The sequence below is a fragment of the Homo sapiens genome, chromosome 17 (assembly GCF_000001405.40).
Source record: "Homo sapiens chromosome 17, GRCh38.p14 Primary Assembly".
In the NCBI taxonomy this organism is placed as follows: domain Eukaryota; kingdom Metazoa; phylum Chordata; class Mammalia; order Primates; family Hominidae; genus Homo; species Homo sapiens.
Window position 1 is genome coordinate 47,449,083 of NC_000017.11, and position 18,994 is coordinate 47,468,076.

The window sequence follows — 18,994 nt, forward strand, 5'->3', positions numbered from 1 at the left end:
TCAATGTGGCGAAAACCTGTCTCTACTAAAAATACAAAAAACTAGTCAGGAGTGGTGATGCATGCCTGTAATCCCAGCTACTTGGGAGGCTGAGGCATGAGAATTGCTTAAACCCAGGAGGTAGAAGTTGCAGTGAGCCAAGAGTGAACCACTGCACTACAGCTTGGGTGACAGAGCAAGACTCTGTCTCAAAAAAAAAAAACCAACCAAACAAAGAAATAAATAAAAGGAAGTTAAGCTATGAGGACACAAAGGGATCAGAATGATACACAATGAACTTTGGGGACTTGGGGGAAAGGATGGGAATGGGGTGAGAGACAGAAGACTACACACTGGGCACAGTGTACACTGCTTGGGTGATGGGTACACCGAAATCTCAGCAATCACCACTAAAGAACTTAGTCATGTAACCAAACACCACCTGTTCCCCAAAAACCTACTGAAATAAATAAAGAAATAAGTATTTTTAAAACTGGCCATTACATATTTAACGACATGTAGAAAATTTAACAGGTCAATACAGTAAATTCTTTGCTATTTAGATATACAATAAAGATATTCTAGTAAATTTTTTCCCAGTACTCACAAAATTTCATTTTTTTCTAAATTCCACAATGTTCTAGCCACATAGGAGTATTTCTTATTCTCTGAACATGCCTACCTGCCACCTCTTCCCTTTGCACCTGCTACCCTAGGTTACGTCACTTTCTCTGTCTGGAATTTTTAGTTGATCATTTTCTGCAAAGGTCAAATGCCTAATTATTCTGCAAAGCCCTAGAAGCTCTTTGTATGCCTTACTCAATTCCTGAGACAAGAATAATTTCTCATTATTTGCCCATAATACTCCATTCAGCCTTATTATTATGTAACATATATTTTAATTTTCATACATTTATTGACTTGTCTTCCTACTTGAGGAGGAAACCCCCTATTTTATTTATCCTTGAATTCCTGGTGTCTAACACAACACTTGATACAAAGTAGGTCCATAGTAAATGCCCAGTAAATAAATGTTCCCAAACTTATCCTTTATTACCTACCATCCATTAAGGACTGATGTCTTCAAGCCCATTTTCCAATCATTCCTGTCATTTCAGAATTGCATGCCCCATTATTAGGCATAAATAATTTATATGAACAAAACCTTATTAACTTTTTTTATTTTTTTGAAACAGGGTTTCACTCTGTTACCTGGGCTGGAGTACAGTCACACAATCATAGCTCACTGCAGCCTTGACCTCCCAGGCTCAAGAGATCCTCCCACCTCAGCCTCTCGAGTAGTTGGGAGGGACTACAGGCGAGCACCACCATGCCCGGCTAATTGTTTTTCTTTTTTGCAGAGGTGGGTTCTCAGAATGTTGCCCAGGCTGGTCTGGTACTCCTGGGCTCAAGCAATCCTCTCACTTCAACCTCCCAAAGTACTGAAATTATAGGTGTGAACCACCACACCCGGTCCATTAACTTTCTTTCTTTTTTGTTTTGTGTTTCTTTGCTTGCTGTTCTTTTCTGAGACAGGGTCTTGCTCTGTTGCCCAGGTGGGGGTGCAGGGCACAGTCACGGTTCACTGCAGCCTTGACCTCTGGGCTCAAGGGACCCTCCCACCGCAGCCTCTTGAGTAGTTGGGACTACAGACACATGTGCCTCCCCACACCTGGCTAAATTTATTCTTTTTTGTAGAGACAGGGTCTTGCTTGTTGTCCAGACTGGATTCAAACTTCTGGGCTCAAGTGATACTCCTGCCTGGGCGTCCCAAAGTGCTAGGACTATAGGCATGAGCCACTGAGCCTATTCTAACCCTAAGTAGAACAAAACAAATCATCAACAACAAAAATCCGACAAACATAAAGCAATCACATATAAGAAAAGCTGTAAAAAGGAAAGAAATAGAAAGAAGAAAAAAATAAACTTGATAAACAGATACACCACGCTTCTGGAAGGAAGGATTCAATATTGTAAAAATATATTCATCCCTAAAACAGTATTTCACTGTAACTCTAATATAGTCTAAATTGTGTGCTTATTAGTCCTAATGTTCATCTAGAAAAATAGATGACAATATTTGTCTTACCATATACTAAAATGTATATAAAGCTATAATAATTTAAAATAGTGTGGCACCAGGATAAAAATAGACACACCAATGGAACACATAAAAAGTCCAGAAACATACTCAAGTATTCAAGAATTTAGTAATGATTCAAACAAGATTTCAAATCACAATGGAAAACATAGATTATTCAGCAATAGTGTTGAAAAAGTTGACTAACCAGGTGGGAGGGGAAAGTTGGGCACGTATCTTACCATATTCTAAAATTAATTCTAGGCTAATAAAATATTTATATCTAAATAATTCCTTCTTTGGTCTACCCTCGCTCCTTTTCTGCTTCAACACTTTAGTCTTAAAGCCATGAGATGGGGCTAGGCATGGTGGCTCACGCCTGTAATCCTAGCATAGGCATGGTGGCTCATGCCTGTAATCCTAGCATAGGCATGGTGGCTCATGCCTGTAATCCTAGCATTTTGGGAGGCCAGAGCAGGCAGTTCACTTGACTCAGGAGTTCAAGACCAGCCTGGGCAACATGATGAAATCTCAACTCTACAAATAATACAGAAAACTTAGCTGGGTGGGATGGGTGCACCTTGTAGTCCCATCTACTTAGAGGGCTAAAGTGGAAGGACTGCTTGAGCCCAAGAGGTCAAGGCTGTAGTGAGCCAAAACTGCACCACTGCACTCCAGCCTGGGTGACAAAATGAGACCCAAAAGCCATGAGGTGAGTTCAAGCATAGTAATTATCCATGAGGGGGTCATGGATATTGGAGGGGGCAGTACAATACTAGTATAAGAGCCTGAATAAGGCTGGCTTCCCTAAGGGGTTGGGGATAGGGGTGAGGACAATCTCAGAGCAAGGTGAAAAGATCAACAAAAGTTGAAGCAGTGAACTGAGGCTGAATATCAAATCCCAAGAGGGGTGAAAAGGACTGGCATGCAGGAAAGTAGCAGCAACCCTGAACTGGGTTGGAACAGCATCTGCCTTAGGTGGAGCAGCAACAGAAGGTATGTCAAAACAGGAGAAATTGATCAAATAAGTAAACTATTAAAAATAGTGAGAGTCAGGTTTCTGTCTGAGAATCATAAATATGGGGGGAAAAATTAAAATGAATCCTGTTTTGTTGGGTTGGATTTGGCGAAGTTAATATGAGCATATGGAGTTCAATATATAGAGATGGATACAGTAATAGAGATGTGAGTGTGTATGTATATTCACATAATGAATCAAAAGTATTGTGACCTCACAGTTTGTTCTCTTTTTTTTTTGAGACAGCGTCTCATTCTGTCACCCAGGCTGGAGTGCAGTGGCACAATCTTGGTTCACTGCAACCTCCGACTCCCAGGTTCAAGCAATTCTCCTGTCTCAGCTTCCCGAATAGCTGGGATTACAGGCGTCCACCACCATGCCCAGCTAATTTTTTTTTTTTGAGATGGAGTCTTGCTCTGTCGCCCAGGCTGAGGTGCAGTGGCACAATCTTGGCTCACAGCAACCTCCGCCTCCTGGGTTCAAGCAATTCTCCTGCCTCAGCCTCCTGAATAGCTGGGATTACAGGTGCCTGCTACCACACCCGACTAATTTTTGTATTTTTTAGTAAAGACGGGGTTTCGCCATCTTAGCCAGGCTGGTCTTGAACTCCTGACCTCATGATCCACCTGCCTCGGCCTCCCAACGTTCTGGGACTAGAGGCATGAGCCACTGGACCCAGCCAATTTTTTTTTTTTTTTTGAGACAGACTCTCACTCCGTCATTCAGGCTGGAGTGAAGTGGTGTGATATTGGCTCACTGCACCCTCTCTGCCTCCAGGGCTCAAGTGATTCTCGTCATGCCTCAGCCTCCCAAGCAGCTGGGATTACAGGCGTGCCCCACCATGCCCGGCTAATTTTTGTATTTTTATTAGAGATGGGGTTTCATTAGCCAGGCTGGTTTTGAACTCCGGACCTCAAGTCATCCCACTGGCCTCGGCCTCCCAAAGTGCTAGGATTACAGGTGTGAGCCATCGTGCCTGGCCCACAGTTTTCTACTTAGATATAAAAACAATATAAGATGTGAATTTATAGAAACATGTATCTCTGTAGGAATACACACACACACACACACACACACACACACACACACAATTTCCTAGCCATGCTGACTGAGAGTAGCAATAACCCACACCTAGCACCCACTTTGGCTTCTAAATATTATTCTCACCTAAAAGGAATCAAGGCTCCTCAGAGAAATGGTGATTTCAGAACTACAGCAGGAATAATATAAGATGAGCCTAGATTATACTGTTGTGTCAGAAGTAGAGAAATGCTTCTCTGAAATGATAGGTCAAAAGACACAGAAGCCGGCTTAAAGAGGTCCCACCAGGAAAACCTGAGACAGTATGTAAATCAAAATAAATGACATTAGTGGAATATGACCCATTAAAATAAAATAGCATAAGTCCATACTAATACAAATAATCAGGGAGTAAAGAAAGCTTCACCTTACAGCGGAACGTCAACTGATGAATGTGAAAGAAAAGGTGAAATTAGAAAATCACTACTTGCCATCAATCCTGGTCATAAATTAGGCCAAGAAACATCAATGAATGCTAAAATTAGTGAGGAAAAGGCGCAAGGAACAAGATGTTTATAGGCGAAGTACTTCCCCCACAAAATCCATACTGACTATAAAGAGAAAAAAGATTAACCTCACAGTGGAGAAACCTAAAAGACACACCTTAACCAAGTGGTCAAGGAAAAACTGAAATCATGTACCACCTGATAGGATGCAAACAAAAAACACAGAATCACGTATGTGATACTCCTGCTAAAAACATAACTGCTTTTAATCATGACGAAACATCAGGCAAATCCAAATAGGAGGTCATTCTACAAAATAACTGACCTGTAATATTCAGAAGTATCAAAGTTATGAAACTCAGGGAAAGACTGAGTTACTATTTGAGATTTAAAAAGACAAAAGAGGACTGGGTGTGGTGGCATAGACCTGTAATGCCAACAGTTTGGGAGGCTGAGGCAGGCAGATCACTTGAGGCCAGGAGTTCGAGACCACCCGGGCCAACATGGCAAGAGCCTGTCTTTACTAAAAGCACAAAAAAATCAGCTGGACGTGGTGGTGCACACCTGTAATCCCAGCTACTGGGGAGGCTGAGGCACGGGAATCACTTGAACCCAGGAGGTGGAGGCTACAGTGAGCCAAGATTGCGCCAATGCACTCCAGCCTGGGTGACAGAGCGAGACTCTGTACAAAAATAAAAAGAAAAATAAATAAAAAGACCAAAGAGTCAAAATGCAGTTTATGATCCTTTTGCTATAAAGAATATGTCTACAAAAACACGAATGGGTTCCAAAGATCAGACAGGAATAATGCATCGCTGTTAATTTCCTTATTTTGATGTTATATTGTATATTCCCAGGAGAATATTCTTCTTTATGGGAAATTCTGAAGTATTCAGGGGTGACAGCATATTATATTGGTAAGTTACTCTCAAATGGTTTAGGGAAGGAAGAGTTCTTTTGTACTATTCCTGCAACCTGTTTGTAAGTTTTAACGCTTTTAAAATTAAAAAGAAAAACAAGGTTTTTAAAAATGAACTTCCAAAGCACTAAAAAAAAAGTGCATTAATATAAAGATTTTCTTTGCACGGCATCAAAGGCAGAAACAATAAAGAGCATTTGCATAAATTACCTCAAAAATGTAAACTTGTGCATTAGAAAAAATTAACCTGCTAGAATCCCAATAACAAAAACTATGAAGACATAATAAAATTAAACACCAAACGTTAAACTATGGGAAAAAACACACACAGCAAATATACGAGACAAAAGAATATGATCTCTAATATAAAACACTTTGTAAAAAAAATTATAATATTAAAATAAACAGATATGGAAGGTCAATTAACATACATGAATAATCTTCAAAAAAAAACTTTAAAATAACCAACCTTACCAGTACTCAAAGAAACTCATTCAAACATTTTAATATTTTTTTTACTAGAAAGAATAGCAAAGATTTTTTTAAGGGTAACACAGTGTACCTAACAAAATATAGAGTTATGAGCAATCTCACATACAGCTAATACAGTGTAAGTTCTAGAGGACAATTTCACACAATGTATTTCTTGAAGCTTCCAAAATGTTCACACACTTTTACACAGATGCTAGCAGTGTATACTAAATGCCAGACACCAAACTAGGCCCTTCAACCACAAAGGGTTGCTTAATTAAATTTACAGTTTGTTGAATCTCATGATATTCTGTATTACAGACCAAGTATCTATTAAAAATACAGCAGAAACACAATTTATTGACACACAAAAGATGCTGTGTAATTTTCAAAAGCAAACAAAAAATATAAGCAAAACGATTCAACTTTTTCGTAAGTATATACTATAAGCAAAAATACACAGAAAAAACCCCGTCTCTACTAAAAAATAGAAAAATTAGTCGGGCGTGATAGTGGGCACCTGTAATCCCAGCTACTCAGGAGGCTAAGGCAGGAGAATTGCTTGAACCCGGGAGGCAGAGGTTGCTGTGAGCCGAGATCATGCCACTGCATTCCAGCCTGGGTGACAGAGTGAGACTCTGTCTCAAAAAAAATAAATAAATAAAAAGTAAAATAAAATAAAATAAAATAAATATTAATTACATAATAAAAAGTTTTTTTGCACAAAAACATTTAAAATCTTAAAGCTGGCTGCAATTTCTTCCACAGTTGGAATGTGTACCTTCAATTAAGTGGTAAAACTGTATTTAAAGGCACATTGGGTAATGGTGAAACCTAAAATGCAGAGGAGAATAAAACAATAACATACTAAATGAAGAAAAACATACAGGAAAAAAGCAAACATTAAGTTTTTTTTTTAAGGCCAACAATAAAAACCGTATCTTGGGGTACAAATAACTTGAGGGGGGGGACAAGTAACATTCTAATATAGGACTGTTTTTTAAAAAAGAATGTATGATACATTGTAATGAATATTATGCAAAATAATAATTAATTCAAATTTACCAGACTCTTGATACCTGAAAGAGCAAAAGAGGTCAGTAATTCATAAAGGGCCAATCTGTAAGGATTAAAATATCCTGTAAATCGTAGAATACTAAATACCTAGGTTACTATGAAAGGTAACACAGTTTTGCTTGCTTTGTACTCCTGTGACCTTAGTAACATATTAATAACATTTTAATAATTGTAGTTTGGTGTAGTAATTTTTTTCCACATCTCCCTGAATTTGATGGAGACCTACAATTTTTTTTTTTTTTTTTGAGACAGAGTCTCGCTCTGTTGCCCAGGCTGGAGTGCAGTGGTGCGCTCTCGGCTCACTGCAAGCTCTGCCTCCTAGGTTCACGCCATTCTCCTGCCTCAGCCTCCCGAATAGCTGGGACTACAGGTGCCCGCCACCATGCCCAGCTAATTTTTGTATTTTTAGTAGAGACGGGGTTTCACCGTATTAGCCAGGTTGGGGAGAACTATAATTTTAAAAATACAAAGACTTCCTTTCTATTTCCCAGCAGTGATATTCAAACAGTAATAAAATAATATCCACTGTACCTTATTACAATGATCATGTGGAACAGACTGTAAAACAATTGGTTCCATTGTGGAAACACTGGCAAATTGTACCTCCGGAATATACAGAGCACACATCTCATGGGCCCAACCTAAAAATAAATAAATAAATGTCATCTTTTCAGTTTTATCAAAAGCAAATTAACATCATTAACTTCCTTAACAGATCCCTACAATGTCTATTGAAACAAATGCACAACAAGGACATTAACAAATTCTCATTGCTGTCTTACTTCCATTGCTTGAGAATACTCAAACCACTACTAAAAAAAAGCATTCTTAATCATTTCCCCAGTTATGATGTACACAAGCATAAATAAAGGGAAACATTTATAAATTCAGTTCTTGGCACTAACACTTCTTATACAGGCAGACTAAATATTCAGATCAACACTACTAATGACAACCACTATAAAAGGAGGTTTTTAAAGTTTAATACTTATGATAAAATTTAATTATCTTAATCTTTTTAAATGTCAACATGAAATTATTTTTATCTTGGTGTCAATATTTTTAATATTAGTAATAATCATTTCACTATTTTAATTGGACAAGTTTTAAATTTGGTATTAAATATATATATTTTATGAGATGGAGTTTCCCTCTTGTTGCCCAGGCTGGAGTGCAATGGCACAATCTCGGCTCACCGCAACCTCCGCCTCCTGGGTTCAAGCAATTCTCCTGCCTCAGTCTCCTGACTGAAGGTATTAAGGAGCTGATGTGATAGTGAGGAATTTCTGGGCTAAAACTGGAAAAGAATGTAAGTCCTAGGTACAGTTTTTGGCCACTTTTGCCCAGGGAACATTTGCCTATTTCAGAGAAAGCGGTGGTGAGGATGAAGGGTACAATTCTTTTTTTTTTTTTTTTTTAGACAGAGTCTCGCTCTTGTTGCCCAGGCTGGAGTGCAATGGCGTGATCTTGGCTCACTGCAAACTCCGCCTCCTGGGTTCAAGCAATTCTCCTGCCTCAGCCTCCCGAGTAGCAGGGATTACAGGCATGCGCCACCACACCCGGCTAATTTTGTATTTTTAGTAGGGGTGGGGTTTCTCCACGTTGGTCAGGCTGGTCTCGAACTCCTGACCTCAGGTGATCCGCCCACCTCAGCCTCGCAAAGTGCTGGGATTACAGGCGTGAGCCACCGCGCCCGGCCTGAAGGGTACTTTTGACAAACTCAGAGGCCCCACAGTACAGGGATGTACATTCACAAACAACCAAGAGAAAAAGAGAACAAGTAAACCCCTCTCCTCCTTTCAGATGCAACACTGAATGGCAAACCAGGGGTGAGAATACACTAAAAGTACATAGACCCTCGCCGGGCGCGGTGGCTCACGCCTGTAATCCCAGCACTTTGGGAGGCCGAGGCGAGCGGATCACGAGGTCAGGAGATCGAGACCATCCTGGCTAACACGGTGAAACCCTGACTCTACTAAGAACACCAAAAATTAGCCGGGCGTGGTGGCGGGCGCCTGTAGTCCCAGCTACTCGGGAGGCTGAGGCAGGAGAATGGCGTGAACCCAGGAGGCGGAGCTTGCAGTGAGCCGAGATCGCGCCACTGCACTCCAGCCTGGGCGACAGAGCAAGACTCCATCTCAAAAAAAAAAAAAAAAAGTACATAGACCCTCAAAGAGAGGACACCAGGGCTCTGACCATCTCAAACTCTGAAATTTGATGAAGGTAATCCGAAATTACAACCCCCAAGGCACGAAGCAGATGCAAATATACATCCTCTCTAAAAGAAAATAGTATCATTTTGGCTACAAATTATTTCTACCTTTTTTTTTTTTTTTTTTTTTTTGAGACAAAGCCTTGGTCTATGGCCCAGGCTGGACTGCACTGGCGTGATCTCGGCTCACTGCAACTTCCTCCTTCCAGTTCAAGCAATTCTCCTGCCTCAGCCTCCCAAGTAGCTGGGATTACAGGTGCCCACCACCACACCTGGCTAATTTTTGTATTTTTAGTAGATATGAGGTTTCACTGTGTAGACCAGGCTGGTCTCGAACTCCTGACCTCAAGTGATCCACCAGTCTCAGCCTCCCAAAGTGGTGGGAATACAGACATGCGTCACCACACCCAGCCTAAAATTTCTTAATTACATATAATTTCCAGCACAATAATAAGTACCAAACACATGACAGACAAGACAATATGAATGAGAATAAGGAGAAACACAAAAATCAAAACAGATCAGTATTTTGGAGTTATCAGATAAAGATTTTAAAATAAGTATGCTTACTATGATCAAGTACACACAAGACAAAATTCTAAATTGATGCAAAGAACCAAAAACTATAATAATAAATTAAAATTCCAGAAGTAAAGCGGAAATTTAGAAATCAGTCAGGCACAGTGGCTCATGCCTGTAAGCCCAGTACTTTGGAAGGCTGAGGCAGATCGCTTGAGACCAGGAGTTCAAGACCACCCTAGGTAACAAAGTGAGACCCCATCTCTACAAAAAAAAAAATAATGAGCCAGGTGCGGCGGCATGCACCTATAGTCCCAGCTACTCAGGAGGTTGAGGTGGGAGGATTGCTTGAGCCCAGGAGTTGGAGGTTGTTGTGAACGATTATTGTGCCACTGCAATCCAGCCTGGGTGACAGAGTCCCTATCTCAAGAAAAAAAAAATCAGTGGGTGGGATTAACAGCAGTTTAGACATGGATGAAAAGAGAATTAGTAGGAACACAACAGGTCAGAAGAAGAAATCCAGAATGTTAGCACAAAAGTAAGAAATACAAAAAATGGAATAAGACACATGAAAAATGTAATAGGCAGGCAGGTCTAACACACCTGTAATCAGAGTCTCGGAGAAGTATGAGAGAGAAAATGGCATGAAAGCAGTATCTGAACTGATAATGCCTAAAAATTTTCCAGAACAGAAGACCCAAAGCCACTGACTGAAGAACCACTATAAATCAGAGTAAATAAATACACTAAGGAACATTAATAAAACTACAGAAAACTAAGGGAAAGAAATGAAAATCTTAAAAACAAAAGGCAAGTTATCAAACGAAAAACTAGATAACTAAATAAAGCCAGAAAACATTATGTAAAAGATTTCCATTAAAGGGAACACCAAATAATTTTCCTTGGGCAATAGGAAAATGACTCCAGAAGGAAGCTCAGAACTGAAGAAAAATATAAAGAGCGACAAACATGTAGGTACATTTAATATATAATGCACATATAAAACAACAATGCCTTCACACTCATTTACAATACAAATGACCACTTACACTAAATATTAAAACACTGGTACGGTCTGTGGATGTATGTAGCTTTCCTATAAAACTACAGCAAAGACTCGAAAAGGAACAGGTAAAAGAAGTCTATATGGTTTCATTCTGCATTTCGTGTTAAGTGGTACACACAGGCCAGATGCGGTGGCTCACCCCTGTAATCCCAATACTTTGGATAGCCAAGGCGGGCAGATCACTCGAGGTCATGAGTTTCAGACCAGCCTGGCCAATATAGCGAAACCATGTCTCTACTAAAAATACAAAAATTAGCTGAGTGTAGTGGTGTGTGCCTGTAGTCCCAGCCACTCAGGAGGCTGAGGCAGGAGGACTGCTTGAACCCGGGAGGTGGAGGTTGCAGTGAGCCAAGATAGTGCCACTGCAGTCCAGCCTGGGCGACACAGCAAGACACCGTCTCAAAAAGAAAAAAAAAGTGGTACACTCAGTAGACTGAATTTACTGATAAGAAAATTATAATCCCTACAGCAACCACTATATAGATAAATATAAATACTTATATAAATAGGAAGAGATATGGCCAAAAAGGCATTTTAAGGCAACTTAATATAATTAATTAAGTTTAAATGCAATACTATCTAGTTGCATTGTTAAACTGATTAAAATACAGCACTAAAAAATAATCACAAAAAGAACAGAAGAGAAATAAGAAATAAGAGGGAAAATCAATGTTAAGAACAAACAGCAGAAGACTTCTACTTCTGTCCAAGGTAGACTAAGGCAGTCAAGAGAAAGTCACAAGGGAAACTGGAAAATGTCTTGAACGGAATGGCAACAAACATGAAATTTATCACAACTTGAGACGTAGGCTGGGGACAGTGGCTCACGCCTGTTAATCGCTTGAGCTCAGGAGTTTGAGACCAGCCTGGGCAACATGGTGAAACCCTGTCTCTACAACAAATACAAAAACATTAGCCAGATAAAGTGGCGTGCACCCGTAGTCCCAGCTGCTTGAGGGGCTGAGGTAGGAGGATCGCTTGAACCCAGGAGGTCGAGGCTTCAGTGAACCGAGATCACACCCCTGCCCTCCAGCCTGGGTGACAAATTGAGACCCTGTCTCAAAACAACAACAACGGCAAAAACAAAAACAAAAACAAAAAAACACAACTTGTGGGATTCAATAAAATAGAGAGGAACTTGCAGCATATATATTTTCATTAGAAAAGAATATCTAAAATAAAAGACCTAAGGTTCCACCTTTATAAGTTAGAAAAGAAGAGGAAAATATAACACATAGTAAGTAGTAGGAAGGAAATAGTAAAGAGCAGAAGTTTAACACAATAGAAAACAGGGAGATGGCATAATAAATTAACAAAGCCCAAAACTTCTTTAAAAGGTCAACACAACTGAATGATTCTATTTGGACTGGTCAAAAAAATAAAAATAAAAACAAAGAAAAACCAGAATACAAATCACCAACATCTGGCCGGGTGTGGTGGCTCACGCCTGTAATCCCAGCACTTTGGGAGGCCAAGGTGGGTGGATCACCTGAGGTCAAGAGTTCATGACCAGCCCGGCCAACATGGTGAAACCCCGTCTCTACTAAAAATACAGAAAATTAGCCAGGCGTGATGGCGCATGCCTGTAATCCCAGCTACTCAGGAGGCTGAGGCAGGAGAATTGCTTGAACCAGGGAGGCGGAGGTTGCAGTGAGCCGAGATCCCACCACTGCACTCCAGCCTGGGTAACAAGAGCAAGGCTCGGTATCAAAAAAAAAAAAATACCAACATCAGGAATAACTATGGGGTAATAACCACCAATGCTAGCAAAATTAACAAAATAATAATAAAATACCATTGACGGCCAGGTGCGGTGGCTTGTGCCTGTAATCCCAGCACTCTGGGAGGCCAAGGCGGGTGGATCACCTGAGGTCAGGAGTTCAAGACCAGACTGGCCAACATGGCAAGATCCTCTCTGTACTAAAAATAAAAAACATTAGCTGGGTGTGGTGGTGCCCGCCTGTAATCCCAGCTACTCGGGAGGCTGAGGCAGAGAATCACTTGAACCTGGGAGGTGGAGTCTGCAGTGAGCCGAGCTCATGCCACTGCACTCCAGCTTGGGTGACAGAGCAAGACTCCATCCCAATAAATAAATAAATAAATAAATAAATACTATTGGCAATGTTAGTCCAAAAATTTCAGCAACTTATACAAAGTAGTCAAATTTCTTGGAAAAATAGAGCGCACCAAAATTGACTTAAGTGTATACAAATAGGCCGGGCCCAAGGGCTCATGCCTGTAATCCCAACATTTTGGGAGGATGAGGCAGGGGGATAGTTTGAGCCCAGATGTTCGAGACCAGCCTTGGCAACAAAGCGAAACCGCTTGTCTCTACAAAAAATACAAAAAGAAAAAAATATTAGCCAGGCATGGTGTGCCTGTGGTCCCACCTATTCAGGAGGCTGGGGCAGGAGGATCATTTGAACTCAGGAGTTTGAAGCTGCAGTGAGCTATGACTATATCACTGCACTCTAGCCTGGGCAACAAAGTGATACACTGTTAAAAAAAAAAAAAGGAAGAAAGAGAGAGAGAGAGAGGGAGACAGGGAGGGAGGACAGAAAAGAGAAGAAAAGAAAAGAAAAAGAGAAAGGAGGGAAAAAGGAATGTCCCTATAATTTTGCCAAAAAATGAATTTATCAAAAATTTTCCCAGAAAAGTTTCAGTTGCTCACGAAGTTCTATATAGAATTCAAAGAAAAATAACATGAAATTTACACAAACTGTTTCATTTTAAGTGACTAGCATAATCCTCAACAAACACCTGACAAAACCACTATAATTCTTTTTTTTTTTTTTTTGAGATGGGAGTCTCGCTCTGTCGCCCAGGCTGGTGCAGTAGCTCGATCTCGGCTCACTGCAAGCTCCGCCTCCCGGGTTCACGCCATTCTCCTGCCTCAGCCTCCCAAGTAGCTGGGACTACAGGCGTCTGCCACCACACCTGGCTAATTTTTTGTATGTTTTAGTAGAGACGGGGTTTCACCGTGTTAGCCAGGATGGTCTCGATCTCCTGACCTTGTGATCTGCCTGCCTCAGCCGCCCAAAGTGCTGGGATTACAGGCGTGAACCACGCGCCTGGCCCAAAACCATTATAATTCTTAACGAAACAGAGAATGAAAGTACATGACAAAAATAAAACATACGTCAGGAGATGGACAAATGAATTTACAGTATCCTAAGAGTTTCAGAGGATTCAGAAAGAGGAAAGAAGCACATAGTAACATTAACTTTTTAAAAAGCTAATAGAGAGGGTAGAATGGAACGAGTGGAACAAACCAGAATAGGAAAGACAAATACAAAACATTTAATAAGATGGAAGGCTTACACCAGGTGCAGTGGCTCATTCCTGTAATACCAACACTCTCAAAACTGAGGCAGGAAGATCACTTGAGCCCGGGACTACAAAGCTGCAGTGAGCTAGGATCCTGCTACTTGCACTCCAGCCTGAACAACAGAATGAAAACCTGTCACTTAAAAAAAACAAAACTTTGGAATAGTGAAGGCCTTTCAAACTAATAACTCCAAATACCGACATCATGAAAGACTAATAAATTGTACAAAATTAAAATAAAAAACCCATGCATGGTAAACAAACTTTTTAAAAAGCACAATATAAATAAAGACTAACCAGATGGGCAAAAATTAGTCCAACTCATATCAAAACAGCATAATAACATATAAGGGGCTCCTTATGAATGCTCCAATAAATCAAACTAAAAAGATCAACAACTGTGGCTGGGCATGGTGGCTCACGCCTGTAGTCAGTCCCACCACTTTGGGAGGCTGAGGTGAGTGGATCCCATCTCTACTAAAAATTAAAAAGTCAGCTGGGCCTGGTGGCTCACGCCTGTAGTCAGTCCCACCACTTTGGGAGGCTGAGGTGAGTGGATCCCATCTCTACTAAAAATTAAAAAGTCAGCTGGGCCTGGTGGCGTGTGCCTATAATCCCAGCTATTCAGGTGAGTGAGGCAGAAGAGTCCTTTCAACGGGGGAGGCAGAGGCTGCAGTGAGCCAAGATCAAGCCACTGCACTCCAGCCTGGGTGACAGAGCAAGACTCCAATTCAAAAAAAAAAAAAAAAAAGCCAGATGTGGTGGCACATGCCCGTAATCCCAGCTACTCAGGAGGCTGAGACAGGAGAATCACTTGAATCCAGGAGGTAGAGGGTGCAGTGAGCTGAGATCATGCCATTGCACTCCAGCCTGGGTGACAGAGTGAGACTCTGTCTCAAAGACAAAAAACAAAACATATGAGACCAGCAGTTTGACTAGGTTAAAACATGGCATGAAAGTACGTAATGATTAGGGAATCAAACAACTTCTGAAATGAAAATTATTATAACAAGGCTGGGTGCAGTGGCTCATGCCTGTAATCCTAGCACTTTCGGAGGCCAAGGCGGGTGGATCACTTGAGGCCAGGAGTTCAGGAGTAGCCTGGCCAACATGGTGAAACCCTGCCTCTACTAAAAATACAAAAATTAACCAGGTGTCGTGGCACAGGCCTGTAGTCCCAGCTACTCCGGAGGCTGAGGCACAAGAATTGCTTGAGCTGGGGACGGGGAGGTTGCAGTGAACTGAGATGAGGCCACTGCACTCCTCCAGCCTGGGCAACGGAGCGAGACTCGGTCTCAAAATAATAATAATAACAATAATTTTTTAAAGTAACACCTGATTTTAGGAGAGGCAAAACATAAAAAAAGAAAATTATAATATTTGAAAGTAGAAAATCAATGGAAAGATTAAACAGATGAATAGTATGAAAGAATAATTTGTGACCTAGAAGATAGCCCCAAAGAAGTTACCCAGAATGCACAGAGACAAAGAAATAGAAAGCATGAAAGATCATGGGTCATGGCCGATAAAGCGCAAAGATCCAACGTATATCTGGAGTTCCAGAAGGAGGAAATAGAGAAAATGGGGCAGAGGCCATATTTGAAAGGTTATGACTGAGAATTTTCAAGAATTAATGAGACCCAAATTCTTAAAGAAACTCAGTGAACTGCAATCCAGAAAAATAAAAAGAAATCCACATCAAGACACATCAGAGTGAAACTACAGAAAACTGAAGAGAACGATCCTAAAACAGCTAGAGAGAAATATATCTTACCTACAAAGAAACAAATGAAAATGACAGCAGATTTCTCAACACCAACGGAAGAAGCCAGAAGATAGCAGAGTAACACCCCTAACATCTGAAAGGAAAATCATTGTCAAACTGGAATTATATCCTAGCGAAACTATTTTTCAAAAGAGATCTTGAAACAATGATATGTTTTTCAATTATTGGATGATGGAAGATACCAGCAGCTAGGAGTTCACATACCCTTTAGGTAATTCTTGAGGTTTCTAATGAGAAATTCCGAAGAACTGGGGTCTGTAGAACTGGCAAACACTCATAGGCTGAGAACATAAAAACACTAAGGAAACAATGACTCTTAACCATAACCACCATCAACCCCACCTCAATTTTTAATCTCAGTAGCCCTTTGGTTACACTAGAGGTATATGGTTCAACTTTGCAGATCTTGGGAGAGAACATTTCTGCTCCATTTTCTCAGGACTACCGCCCCAAAAAGGCTTTCCTAGGCCCCTCAGCTCCTAGGAGGAGTAGTTAATATGATTGGTCAGAGTCCAAGGCATTCCTTGGGCCTTATTTATTTCTCTTTTGTTCTCTTATAGAGGCCTCCTCTGCAGTCTGTATCATGTCAGTTTCAGGGAGAAGAGAGAAAACATCGAATATAACAGAGCTGCATGGGGGAGGTACTGGATTTCCATTCCTGTGTATACCTCTCTGTAGCTCCCTCGATCTGGAATGCCAAAGAGAAGAGGGCACCCAGGGACCTAAGCATTACTTGGTCCCTGGATCAATACCATAATAATAACCTCGGAACCTCATCCATGTCTTCTAATGTGAATGCTCATCCCAGCTTGGAAGTAATGAAGACTACAAGCTGCTCTCCCTGGAGAAAGTACAAGAGACCACATCCAAACGCATGAGAAATAACTTCTCTCTCTCTCTTTTTGTTTTTGTTTTTTGTTTGTTTGTTTTTAGAGACGGAGTTTCGCTCTGTCGCCCAGGCTGGAGTGCAGTGGCGCAATCTCGGCTCACTGCAACCTCCACCTCCCGGGTTCAGGCGATTCTCCTGCCTCAGCCTCCTGAGTAGCTGAGATTACAGGTGTGCACCACCACACCCAGCTAATTTTTGTATTATTAGTAGAGATGGGGTTTCACCATCTTGGCCAGGCTGGTCTTGAACTCCTGGCCTCAGGTGATCCGCCCGCCTTGGCCTCCCAAATTTCTGGGATTACAGGCATGAGCCACCATGCCCGGTCAATTAACTTACCTTCTCTAGATTCACTTTCCTTATCTCAAAATGGAAGAAAAATGTGGAATTCACAGGGAATTGAACACTAAATGTTTTGATGAAATCACTTAGCACTCCAAAGAGGCTAAATGTTTATTGTATTAGTATAGAAACAGAACAAATTGCAAAAACAAAAAGTGGACCCAAATACACACTGAATTCATGATATGATAAAACTAGCATTCCAGATCAGTGGGAAAAAGATGGCTTATGCAATAAATGTAATGAGACAACTGGTTAGACTTAAAAAAAAAAAAAAAACCCAGATCATTACTTTATGCCAAAATAAACTACATATGTATCAAAAATTGAAGACAAAATATGAAACCACAAAAGTACTAAGGGAAACGTGGATGAATATTTTTCTAATCTTGGAGTGAAAAAGGCCTTTTAAAGCACGTGTTACCAAATTCAGAAGCTATAAGGAAAAAACTTTTTATAAATTTGGCTACATAAAAATTCAAGACTTAGACCTTTTTAAAAGACATAAAAATCACACCTTTAAATGAAGGAAAAACATTCTGTTTTTGAATAGGAAGAATTAATATCATAAAGGTGCCAATTCTTTTATTAACATATAAATGTAACATATGAATCCAAATTAGCATATAAGTGCAATTAGAATCAGAATACATCAATTTTTTTAAAAACTGGACAGTAATTTTAACATTCATATAGAAGAATAAATGAGATGGTCAAGAATATTTGAAAGGAATACCAACAAAGGGGACCTGTCTTATCATATATTAAACTTAAAATGAGGCTATGGTAAATAAAACAGTATGATATTGGCACAGGAATAGACATCTAGATCATTAGAGAAAATAGCACAGTGGCTCATGCCTGTAATTCCAGAGCTTTGGGAGCCCAAGGCGGGAGGGTGGCTTGAGGCCAGGAATTCTTTTTTTTGTTTTCTGAGATGGAGTCTCGCTCTGTCACACAAGCTGGAGTGCAGTGGCATAATCTTGGCTCACTGCAACCTCCACCTCCCAGGTTCAAGTGATTCTCCTGCCTCAGCCTCCCGAATAACTGGGACTACAGGCACCCGCCACCATGCCCAGGTAATTTTTGTATTTTTAGTAGAGACAGGGTTTTACCATGTTGGCCAGACTGGTCTTGAACTCCTGGCCTCCGGCCCGCCTCATCCTCCCAAAGTGCTGGGATTACAGGCCACCACGCCCAGCCTGAGGCCAGGAATTGAAGACCAGCCTTGACAACAAAGTGAGACCCTGTGTCTATAAAAATTTTAAAAATTAGGCCGGGTGTGATGGCTCATGCCTGTAATTCCGGCATTTGGGGAGGCCAAGAGAGTAGATCACGGATCACTTGAGGCCCAGAAGTTTGAGACCAGCCTGAGCAGCAAGGCAAAACCCCATTTCTACAAAAAATAAAAACAAATAAGTTACCCGGGCGTGCTGGCATGTGCCTGTAGTCCCAGCTGCCCAGGAGGCTGAGGTGGGAGGATTGCTTGAGCCCAGAAGTTTAAGGCTGCAGTGAGTTATGATCATGCCTTTATACTTCCAGCCTGGGCAACAAAATGAGACTCCATCTCTATTTTTTAAAAAAAGAAAAACAGAAACCCAAAACTGATCAAACTACATGGCAATCTAATAAACAACTGATATGGTTTGGCTGTGTCCCCACCCAAATCTCATCTTGAATTGTAGTTCCCATAATCCCCACATGTTGTGGGAGGGACCCAGTGGGAGGTAATTAAATTATGGGGGCAGTTACCCCCATGCTGTTCTAGTGATAGTGAGTGAGTTCT

General features: G+C 40.8%; 1 pseudogene across 1 annotated transcript in view; it reads right to left on the reverse strand.

Moving 5' to 3' along the window:
- Positions 1–1,144: 1,144 nt before the first annotated feature.
- MRPL45P2 (mitochondrial ribosomal protein L45 pseudogene 2) overlaps positions 1,145–18,994 on the reverse strand; it is a 42,394-nt pseudogene continuing 24,544 nt past the window's right edge. Inside the window, exons 5-6 of the transcript NR_033934.1 lie at positions 7,602–7,711; positions 1,145–1,796 (exon numbers count right to left, since the gene is read on the reverse strand). The product of NR_033934.1 is annotated as a mitochondrial ribosomal protein L45 pseudogene 2 (transcript). The remainder of the gene's footprint in view (positions 1,797–7,601; positions 7,712–18,994) is intronic.